General features: G+C 37.9%; 1 protein-coding gene and 1 pseudogene across 11 annotated transcripts in view; both read left to right on the top strand.

The window, feature by feature from the left end:
• The window catches only part of UBE3D (ubiquitin protein ligase E3D), a 185,040-nt gene that overhangs the window by 133,119 nt on the left and 39,730 nt on the right, over positions 1-12,191 (top strand). The window lies entirely within an intron of this gene.
• LAP3P1 (leucine aminopeptidase 3 pseudogene 1) lies at positions 7,601-7,896 on the top strand (annotated as a pseudogene).

Here is a 12,191-nt window from a genome sequence, read left to right as displayed (position 1 = left end):
TATAGGCAGAGAATACAAAAATACAAATAGCTGTGGATAAATAGGGAAAAAACATAAGTAAGTTCCAGTGTTCAGTTCCTCACACTTCTTCCACACTTCCATTCATGCCAGGCTTCATGGAGGGCAAAACAGACCAAGAAAAACTGTGAAAACAGAAAAGATAGCCTAGTGACAGTGCCTAAGGGTGATTTGGAATCGCCACCAGAAAGATTAAATTTAACCTAAAGTTTAAAATGCTGGGAAAATGACCAAGCAGATCACAGCATGGAGTATAAGGAAGGGATTTTAAGGTCACATGATTTAAAAAGCCAAAGGCCATATAGGACCAGATACACCATTTAAAGATACACCATTTTATAGGACCAGATACTATTTAAATGGACAATCATCATTAAAAAGGATAGGTATCATTTAATGGGTCAGTCTTCCCAAGCATTGTTTCCAGTGAAACTACTCTATATGATACTGTAGTGGTGGATATGTGTCATCATATGTATTAGTCTGTTCTCATGCTGCTAATAAAGACATACCTGAGAGTAGGTAATTTATAAAGAAAAGAGGTTTAATTGACTCACAGTTCAGCATGACTTAGGAGGCCTCAGGAAACTTACAATCATCGTGGAAGGGGAAGTGAACACATGTCACATGGTGACAGCAAGGAGAAGAATGAGAGTGAAGGTAGGAGAAGCCCCTTATAAAACCATTTTATCTCATGAGAACTCACTCACTATCAGGAGACAGCATGAGGGTAATCACCCCCATGATTCAATTACCTCACACCGGGTCCCTCCCACGACATGTGGAGATTATGGTAACTACAATTCAAGATGAGATTTCAGTGAGGACACAGCCAGACTATATCTTTTCACCCCGGCCCCTCCCAGATCTCATGTACTCACATTTCAAAACCCAATCCGAGTCCAAAGTCTCATCTGAGATAAGGCAAGTCTTCTCTGCCTATGAGCCTGTAAAATTAAAAGCAAGTTAGTTACTTCCTAGATACAATGAGTATACAGGCTTTGGGTAAATACACCCATTCCAAATGAGAGAAGTTGACCAAAACAAAGGGGCTGCAGGCTCCATGCAAGTCTGAAATCCAATAGGGCATTTATTAAACCTTAAAGTTCCAAAATGATCTCCTTTGACTCCATGTCTCACATCCAGGTCATGCTGATGCAAGAGGTGGGCTCCCATGGCTTTGGGCAGCTCTGTCCCTGTGGCTTTGCAGGGTACAGCCCCCCTCCTGGCTGCTTTCCTGGGCTGGTGTTGAGTGTCTGTGGCTTTTCCAGGTGCACAGTGCAAGCTGTCAGTGGATCTACCATTCTGGGTCTGGTTGACAGTGGCCCTTTTCTCACAGCTCCACCAGGTGGTGCACCAGTGGGGACTCTGGGTCGGGGCTCCGACCCCACATTTCCCTCCCACACTGCCCTAGCAGAAGTTCTCCATGAGGGCTCCACCCCTGCAGCAAACTTCTGCCTGGATTTCCAGGCACTTCCATATATCCTCTGAATCAAGGCAGAGGTTCGCAAAGTTCAGTTCTTGACTTCTGTGTACCCACAGGCCTAACACCATGTGTAAGCCACCAAGGCTTGGGGCTTGCACCCTCTGAAGCCACAACCTGAGCTGTACCTTGGCCCATTTTAGCCATGACTGGAGCAGCTAGGATGCGGGGCACCAAATCCCTAGGCTGCACATAGCAGGGCAGCCCTGGGCCTGGCCCACGAAACCATTTTTTCCTCCTAGGCCTCCAGGCCTGTTATGGGAGGGGCTGCCATGAAAGTCTCTGACATGCCCTAGAGAAATTTTCCCCATTGTCTTGGTGATTAATATTCATCTCCTTGTTTCTCACGCAAATTTCTGCAGTGGGCTCGAATTTCTTCCCAGAAAATGAGTTTTTCTTTTATACTGCACTGTCAGGCTGCAAATTTTTTAAACTTTTATGCTCTGCTTCCTGTTAAACACTTTGCCACTTAGAAATTTCTTCCGCTAGATACCCTAATCATATCTCTCAACTTCAAAGTTCCACAGATCTCTAAGTCAGGGGCAAAATGCTGCCAGTCTCTTTGCATAGCAAGAGTGACCTTTCTACTCCAGTTACCAAGAAGTTCCTCATCTTCATCTGAGACCACCTCAGCCTGGACTTCATTGTCCATATCACTATCAGCATTTTGGTCAAAGCCATTCAACAAGTCTCTAGTTTCCCATATCTTTCTGTCTTCTGAGCCCTCCAAGTCTCTAGGAAGTTCCAAACTTCCCACATTTTCCTATCTTCTTCTGAGCCTGCCAAACTATTCCAACCTCTGCCTGTTACCCAGTTCCAAAGTCACTTCCACGTTTTTGGGTATCTTTACAGCAGCGCCTCACTACCCAGTACAATCTACTGTATTAATTCATTCTCACGCTGCTAATAAAGACATATCTGAGACTGGATATTTATAAAAGAAAGAGGTTTAGTGGACTCACAGTTCAGCATGACTGGGGAGGCCTCAGGAAATGCACAGTAGTGGCAAAAGGGGAAATGGAACATGTGCTTCTTCACATGGTGGCAGCAAGGAGAAGAATTAGAGTAAAGGGTGGGAGAAGCCGCTTATAAAACCATCAGATTTCATGAAAACTCACTATCACAAGAACAGCATGAGGGTCACCACCCCCATTATACAGTTACTTCCCACTGGGTGCCTCCTATGATACATGGGGATTATGGGAACTAAAGATGAGATTTTGGGGGGGATGCAGCCAAACCATATCATCATGCATTTGTCCAAACCCATAGAATGTACACCACTAAGAGTGAACAGTAATGTAAACTGTGGACTTTGGGTGATAAGGATGTGTCAGTGTATGCTCATCAGTTGTAATAAATGTACTGTTCTGTGGTGGATATTGATGATGTGGGAGGCTATACATGTGTGGATACAGAGGGAATATGGGAATTCTATGCACCTTCCTTTCAATTTTGCTGTGTACTTTAAAAAAACAGTCTATTTCTTAAAAATAGCATAATTTCTGGAGAAGAAAAAAAGCAAAAAGAAGAGAAGGGCTTTTTAGCAATTGGATGAAGAAGGAGAAAAGAAGAAAGGGGGAAAGCTTAGAATTATGTAAGAGAATCACAAAATCAGAGGACTCACTCCCCACCCCCCCAACCAGAACAAACACACCAACAAAAAAACCCACTAAAGTACTTAGACTTTGCTAGACTGACAGAAAAGGGCATCTTTAGAAAGAGGAATTTTCAAAAACACTTTAATCTCATAAAAATGAACAAAATGAAATTAAAATCAGTAAAGAAATTTTGCAAAAAATAGGAAATCTTCAGTAAGAGAAAGCCCTTAATTTGTCCCTTAATTGTCAAAAAAGCTTAGCAAAAATTACAGTTTTTCAAAACACAATTAAGTGACCCTTTCCCCACAAAAGTCTTAGTTCCATGGTAAAACCGAGAATTTTATTATAGGTCAGTGTTGATCTCCATCAGATGTGATTAGGGCCCACAGTTATGTAAGACAAACATGGCTGTTGAAGAGCCACTCCTATGAATAAGAAAGTCCTTATTCTTTCTTATTGGACTGGATGTGGACTGGATGGATATCTTATGTTTACCCGAAGAAAGATTTATTATTTTTATGATTTTGATGATGTTGTTTCTACATCCTTGGATTTAGATCATACAATCAAGCAAGAATCATAGTAGCCATAGTTTTATTTTGGTCGCTATGTGGTTCTTTTGGAATTATGTTTGAAATAATTATGTTTGAAATTATAATGCAGAATAATTGATTAAGGTGTTTGTTGTCACTTCTGTATAATGTTGGGACTAGGTTTTGTTATGCATATCTTTGTTAGAATAGTATTTCCATAAGACAGTCAAATTTATATTACTTCACCTAACTACAGCTGTTTTCCCTAGAAGAACATAACTTACCATATGGACAGAGACTGCTGCTGTTTGGATTCCCATGGATATCTTTATCCAGCATTTTGTCAGAATGGAAATTGCCTTATACATAATCTGAAATAATTGAAATAATTGGAAGTATAATGAGAGCCAACATTTAGAAGCTCCCTTGTGCTTCTTTCTACTCTGCAAATAAAATGATCACTGAATGCATTCATGTTTTAAAATTTAAGCAGACTTGGTAAATGAATCTTGTTTTCTAAATGTGCAGAGGGGCTAATATAAGGTGGTTGGTGTCCCTGAAACAGATGTTAAAAGATCTTTTTAAGCTTCTCAATACATTTGCAAATTTACCATGATGAAGTGGCAATTTGCAGTGTAGAGCTCATTACAGAAATCAGGAAATAGTTGAAATGTATTTTTTAAAATTAATCATATTATTGCCTATTCCTGTGCTTTTTTATAATACATACAACAACATTAATAATGTTCTCAGAAGTCCCTGAGAGACTTGTTGGCTTGTTTTATTTTTAGTGGTTGACAGGAATTGACTTTAAAATGAAAGCCATTCATATGCGGTTCCCGGGATCCATTTTAGCATCTGACCAAATTTTGCATATTTTTGTAGCAGTTTTAGGTTCACAGAAAAATTAGGAGGAAGATTCAGAGATTCTCATATACCCCTTACCTCTACTTGGGGATAACTTCCCTCATTACAACATCCCTCACCAGATTGGTACATTTGTTACAGTTGATGAACCTACATTGACACATTCTTACCACCTAAAGTCCATAGTTTACATTAGGGTTCACTGTTGGCATTGTATATTTTATGACTTTGAAAAAATATATAATGATGTATGTACCAACATAGTATCATACAGAGTAGTTTCCATCTCCCTAAGAATACTCTGTGCTCTACCTGTTCATGCCTTCCTCCCCCCACAACTACTGGCACCGACTGATCTTAATACTGTCCGTATAGTTTTGCTTTTTTCCAGAATGGCATTTGTCTTTGTTCAGAGATGCCATGATTGTCTTATTTAGAAAATCCTGAAGAATTAAAAAAAAAAAAACCCTCCCAAACTAATAAGTGATTATAACAAGATTGTAGGATACAAAGTTAATATACAAAAGCCAATTGCCTTCCTACATACCAGCAATGGATAAGTGAAATTTGGAATTAAAAACAGTACCTTTTACATTAGCCCCCCAAATGTGAAATATGTAGATATAAATCTAGCAAAATATGTATAAGATCTCTTTGAAGAAAATTGTAAAACTCTGATGAAAGAAATCAAAGAACTAAATAAATGGAGAGATATTCCGTGTTCATGGAAAGGAAGACTACATGTGGTCAGGATGTCACTTCTTTCTAACTCTAGATTCCCAACCCATAGATTCCATGCAATCCCATTGAAAATCTGAGCAAGTAATTTTGTGTACATTGGCAAACTGATTCTAAAGTTTATATGGAGAGGCAAAATACCCCAACTAGCCAACACAATATTGAAGGAGGAACAAAGTTAGAGGACTGACACTACCCTACTTTAAGACTTACTATAAAGCTACAGTAATCACCACCAGTGTGGTATTGGTGGGGGAAAAAAAAAAAAAGACAAATAGATCAATGGAACAGAATAGAAAGCCCAGAAATGGACCCGCAAAAATATGGTCAACTGATCTTTGACAGAGAAGCAAAAGCATTTCAACAGAGAAAAGTTAGTCTTTTTAATGAATGATGTTGGAACAACTGGACATCCACGTACAAAAACAATGAATCTAGATACAGACTTTACACCCTTTACAAAAGTCAGTTCAGAATGGATCACAGACCTCAATGTAAAATACCAAACAAACCCTTCGAAGATAATGTAGAAGAAATTCTAGATGGCCTAGCATCTGATGATGACTTTTTAGATACAGTGCAAAGGCATACCCCATGAAAGAAAGAATTGATAAGCTGGACTTCATTAAAATAAAAATTTCTGCTTTGCAAAAGACACTATAGAGAATAAAAAGAAAAGCCACAGACTGGGAGAAAAGAAAACAACCTGATTTTAAAATGGACAAAGACCTTAAGAAGCATGTCACTAAAGAAGATATACAGGGAGCAAATAAACATATGAAAAGATACTACACATCACATGTCATCAGGAAAATGCAAATTAAAACAACAGTGAGAAACTACCACACACCTATTAGAATGGCCATAATCCAGAACACTGACAACACCAAATGCTGATGGAGCAATAGAAATGCTCATTGATTGCTGGGAAGAATGCAAAATGATACAGCCACTTTAGAAAACACGTTGGCAATTTCTTAGAAAACTTAACATACTCTTACCATATCATCAATACCAAAGGTGCTCAAACTTATTTCCACACAGAAACCTGCACAGGGATGTTTATAGCAGCTTTATTCATAATTGCCAAAACTTGCAAGCAAGTAACAGTCTCTTCTATAGGTGAATGGATAAACTATGATACATACAGACAATGGAATATTACTCAGTACTAAAAAGAAATAGCTGTCAAACTAGGAAAAGACACAGAGGAAACTTAAATGCATATTACTAGGTGAAAAAAGCCAGTCTAAAGAGGCTACATACTATATGGTACCAACTATATGACATTCTTTTTCACTTTTTATCTGGATTCCACTCCATTTTACCTTCAAGTTTAGAAGTCACAGTCAGGTGAATTGAAAGGGGCTTGAGTAAAGCAAGCTGGGGTTTCCTTCTTTAGGAAATATTTTTGAAAGATGATCATTAGATCATTGTTTTTATATCCTCTTGAGTAAGGGAGGTGGGGATATTTTTTAATAAGATTTTAGACTATAGAGCTAGAAATGTGGGGATTTGAATACTGGTTCTATCATGTACTTAACCACCTGTGTGACCTTGGGAAGGTTTTTTTCTACCTAAATGAGCATTTAGTCTTTACTTAGTAGGAACAAAGTATAGAACCAAGGAATGGAATATTATTTATTTAATATTTTGGTAATTTTGTGGGGTATTTATTGTTAATCCTCATATTTTAGAGGCTGACTCTGTCATCATTCCCCCTATTGGTCAGGGGTTCTTAAAAGCAACAAAATCCTCTCTGGCTAGTTTGAGCAGAAGCAGGATTTTAGTGAAGGATATTGGGCAGTTAAGCATGCAGCCAAGAACAGAGCCCAACATGCCATCCAGATTGCTTTTAGGAAAATATCACTACATTATTTACACAGGTGACTCTACCCAGATGTCCTCAGAAAGACAGATACTTCCCTTCCATGATCACCACAGGATAGGATGGATTCCCCATGTTTCCTCCTCAGGTTACTTACATCTGAAGGTAATCCTGAGCCGAGTGTCTAATCATAGAGTCTCATCACGTGCTGCTGTCCTGGCTTCACAGGAAGGTTGAAGAAACAGGTTTTCTGGCTTTTGACTTAAAGAAGTCGGGTCAGTAAGGAAGGAAATTCCTCAGACATTTTGAAAAAGTGCTGTGTAGGCAGAAAATATGACAGTACTCCAAGGACATTTTTGTTTCAGTAGATGGCTTCATAAAGATAGAAATATGTTCAAATTAAAAGGAAGGTGACTTTGGTTTATATTCCTTCTTTGAATCATTATTTTATTGTTAAGGTAGACTTTGCTTACAGATATATCTGTATCACTGGCCTTTATCATTCACTTTTTTGTACCTATATACAGGGACAAAACTATTTGAGGCTAGCATTGCAATGGGGGACCATGGCTGGAGACTGTCTCTCTTTGAACATTATGCAAGACAGGTTGCAGATTGTCAGCTTGCTATGTTAATACTATTGGGAAATATCAATCTGTAGGGGCATATGCAACTGCAACATAGCTGAATGAATTTGTGACTCAGAAGTGAGCTCATTTAGGCCCAGCAGATATGATGAACAATAAAGATGAGGTTCCATATCTTAGGAAAAGCATGACCAGAAAGCCAACAAAGATTCTAATAGAGTTTTTAGTTAGGTTCAGTCAAAGGAAGGATAATGTTTACTATAAATACTATGCATTTTCCATATTCTGCCTTAAATTGGACAGTTGAACTTCAAAATATTTTTGAATAAATGGATGAAAAAATTTTAAAGGAAACAAATGATGTTATTTAAAAATGCAGAACAAAATGAGATGTATGCCTTTATTTTTCAATTTGTGCAAAGATTCAGTGATTTTAAAGATAGAGCTAATACCCTGCTTGGCAAATATTTTTAAATGATATTCTATAAATGGTAATTAATTTACAAATTACCTAATCACTTTCCAGTGTGTGTAATTGAATTGAGAGGTAAAATAGTGTTTTGAATTTGTGATACTAGAAACTAAACAAAGTTACTATGCAGTTGTCATAATAAATTCTAGTTTTTATACAAAAAATAAATTGTTCTGTAGTAAAGATTCTTGTCCTTAAGCTTTGGCTAAATATCTGATCATTTCCTAAATCAAAACTCTGAATATTTTTGAGGTTTTTGACATTTTACCTAATTATTCTCTAAAACGTTCATATCAACCTATATTTCATCCAAGTAACTTTTCTTATCAGTTAGTAATTGTAAGCTCTGCAAGAAAATGGCTATATCTGGGTTTTGTTTTCTTTTTCTTTTTATTATTATGTACCTTTTCAAGTAAATATTTTTTAATAAGTTAGAAAAATGTGTTTAATGGCTGCCATTTGTGGACTTCCAAGTACTTTTCTTTTTTCTCCTACCTTTTTTTATTTATACGCTGCTTGTGCATATGCATGCTTCTGCTTAAGAAAAAAAAAAGCCTCTTTTCACTGCTTCACCATTTTGAAGGACCAGGTACACAGTGAGGGTATGATTTTTCTACTAAGAATATTACAAGCTGAAATTTGTTTTTTTACTTTTGACTCTAGGCTTTTCCAACACACAGTTTTTTTGCTGCATTTAATCTGTTTATATGGTGAATTACCTGTAATAATTTTCAAATGTTAAATTAACATTCTTGAGTTAAACTTAACTTGGTCATGATATGAAGGTCATGATATAAATTCATATTTTGTTTTTTATCTGTGTTTGTGTTCAGAGTCTAGATAAGTAACAGATGTTCCTCTTTTATTTAGTTATTTATTTTTATTATACTTTTAGTTCTGGGTTACATGTGCAGAACGTGCATTTTGTTACATAGGTATACACGTGCCATGGTGGTTTGCTACACCAATCAACCCGTCACCTACATTAGGTATTTCTCCTAATGTTATCCCTCCCCTAGCCCCCCACCCCCACAGGGCCCCAGGCTCTGGTGTGTGATGTTCCCCTCTCTGTGTCCATGTGTTCTCATTGTTCAACTCCCACTTATGAGTGAGAACATGCAGTGTTTGGTTTTCTGATCTTGTGATCGTTTGCTGAGAATGATGGTTTCTAGCTTCATCTGTGTGCCTGCAAAGGACATGAACTCATCCTTTTTTATGGCTGCGTAGTATTCTATGGTTTATATGTGCCACATTTTCTTAATCCAGTCTATCATTGATGGACAGTTGGGTTGGTTCCAAGTCTTTGCTATTGTGAATAGTGCTGCAATAAACATACGTGTACGTGTGTCTTTATAGTAACATGATTTATAATCCTTTGGGTATATACCCAGTAATGGGATTGCTGGGTCAAATAGTATTTCTAGTTCTAGATCCTTGAGGAATTGCCACACTGTCTTCCACAATGGTTGAACTAATTTACACTCCCACCAACAGTGTAAAAGCATTCCTATTTCTCCACAACCTCTCCAGCATTTGTTATTTCCTGACTTTTTAATGATTGCCATTCTAACTAGCTTGAGATGGTATCTCATTGTGGTTTTGATTTGCATTTCTCTGATGACCAGTGATGATGAGCATTTTTTCATATGTCTGTTGGCTGCATAAATGTCTTCTTTTGAGAAGTGTCTGTTCATATCCTTTGCCCATTTTTTGATGGGGTTGTTTCTTGTAAATTTGTTTACCTTCTTTGTAGATTCTGGATATTAGCCCTTTGTCAGATGGATAGACTGCAAAAATTTTCTCCCATTCTGTAGGTTGTCTCTTCACTCTGATGATTGTTTCTTTTACTGTGCAGAAGCTCTTTAGTTTAATTAGATCCCATTTGTCAATCTTGGCTTTTGTTGCCATTGCTTTTGGTGTTTTAGACATGCCTATGTCCTGAATGGTATTGCCCAGGTTTCTTCTAGGATTTTTATGGTCCTAGGTCTTATGTTTAAGTCTTTGATCCATCTTGAGTTGATTTTTATATAAGGTGTAAGGAAGGGGTCCAGTTTCAGTTTTCTGCATATGGCAAGCTAGTTTTCCCAAGACCATTTATTAAATAGGGAAACTTTTCCCCATTGCTTGTATGTGTCAGGTTTCTGAGTTTCCTCTTTTACACTGTCTGTGGGTTTTTAATATCAAGGTTTCAATAGCCCCATAAAATGACTTGGAGAGAGTTTCTCCTTTTTCTGTTCTTGGCAGACTTTATATAAGATTGAAATTACCGGTTTCATAAAATTCATTTGTAAAACTATCTGGGCATGGTGTTTTCTAAGTTGGAAGAATTTTTAGCTGCTGATTCGATGTCTTTAAATGTTTAAGATGATTCAGGCTTTCTATTTATTCTGGAATAAGTTTCAATAATTTCTGTTTTCCTAGGGATTTGTCCATTTCATCTGCATTTTCAGAATTTCCAAAAAAATTGTTCAGAATATGCCTTTTATGTCTGCTACAACTATTATCTGGTCTTATTCATCTTTCTTCTACTATGTCCAATCTCTTATTTGTCTAACATTAAATTTCTGGTAGCAAGTCTTATATTTTTTCCTTTCTGGATGTACTGTTTGGTTGTTTTTCAAATCTTCCCATAAGTTCTGAAAGTCTCTTGTAGCCTAGGAATACTTTTGCTATTTCTTTTATTTGTTTATACATATTATATATTCTTCCTAGTGAAAATGTCTACAGTTTTGCCGGTCTGGTTGTGTAAGTTGTTTCTGTTGACTTGCTCACATATTTAGTGATTTTATGATGGCAAGCTCATGTTCTCCTTGGGACTTTGGGAGGGTTCTTCAAGGCCTGGATGAAAATATGTTCCTGCATAGAGGACTGTTAGTGAGGCCCCATAAATAGTGTGAAAATTCCAACCCCAAACATGCCCATGAGTGGACCTGTGATCAGGAATTCTCACAAGTGCCTTTCTCCTCACCCTCCATGCCACATTCTGAGCTGAGGCTGAGACAGGCAAGTTGCTTCATTCACCATCTGCCTCTAAAAGGTAGATTTTTTTTTCTCCAGTTCATTTACTATGGGCGAGTGGTATGGAGGAAGAAGGAAGGATCTCAGGGGTGTGTGATCCAGTGTGCTATTTTGCATGGCTCCAGGCTTGTCTGCTGACCCTCAGCCTTTCATAGGTTTAAAGCACAAGCACAAGTCTAGACCTTCCAGGATGGGCAGAAGCCTTAGGGAAAATTCTGTTTTCAGCCCTGGCTTACCAAGAGGCTTCAGGAATTTTTCCTACCTCAGAGGATTTGGTTATTCTCCTGATAGCTCAGCTATGTGTTTAAAAGATTTTTTAAAAATATTCAGGGCCAGGTGCTAATGCCTGTAATCCCAGCGCTTTGGGAGGCCAAGATGGGCAGATCCCTTGAGCTCAGGATTTCAAGACCAGCCTGGGCAACATGCCAAAACCCAGTCTACTAAAAATATAAAAATTAGTTGGGCATGGTGGTGGGCACCTGTAGCCCCAGCTACTTGGGAGGCTGAGATGGGAGGATCACTTGCACCCTGGCAGTTAAGGTTGCAGTGACCTAAGATTGTGCCACTACACTCCAGCCTGGGTATCCAGCCTGGGCAACACAGCAAGACGCTGTCTCAAAAAAAAAAAAAAAAAATCAGCATTTTTAGTTTTCTATACTGAGAGGGCTTCCTCTGACATCAGGCTACCATACTGGAAAAAATGGGCGTTAAATCTTTTCTTCCTTTTTTGTTTGTTTGTTTGTTTTCCTAGAAGAGAAGTCGGAGTTGTAAATCTTACGTGGTAACTTCTTTAAACATTACATATATAGGTCAACCTCAATTTTTGAGACCACAGTCAAGAGAAAGGAAATAAGTGAAAAAGTAGCAGTGGCTAACATTTTGGGTTGATTCTTAATAATGTATGGGGCTCTATACCAAGTGCTTTATTAGGAAGATCTCATTTAATCCACCATCACAATTCTACCATTCCCATAGTAAAGAGGAGGACACCGAAACTTTGGAGAGGTTCATATCACTTGCCCAAGGTCACACAATGAACAGGTAAT

The sequence above is a fragment of the Homo sapiens genome, chromosome 6 (assembly GCF_000001405.40).
Source record: "Homo sapiens chromosome 6, GRCh38.p14 Primary Assembly".
In the NCBI taxonomy this organism is placed as follows: Eukaryota; Metazoa; Chordata; class Mammalia; order Primates; family Hominidae; genus Homo; species Homo sapiens.
This window is presented reverse-complemented; position numbering and strand designations above follow the sequence as displayed.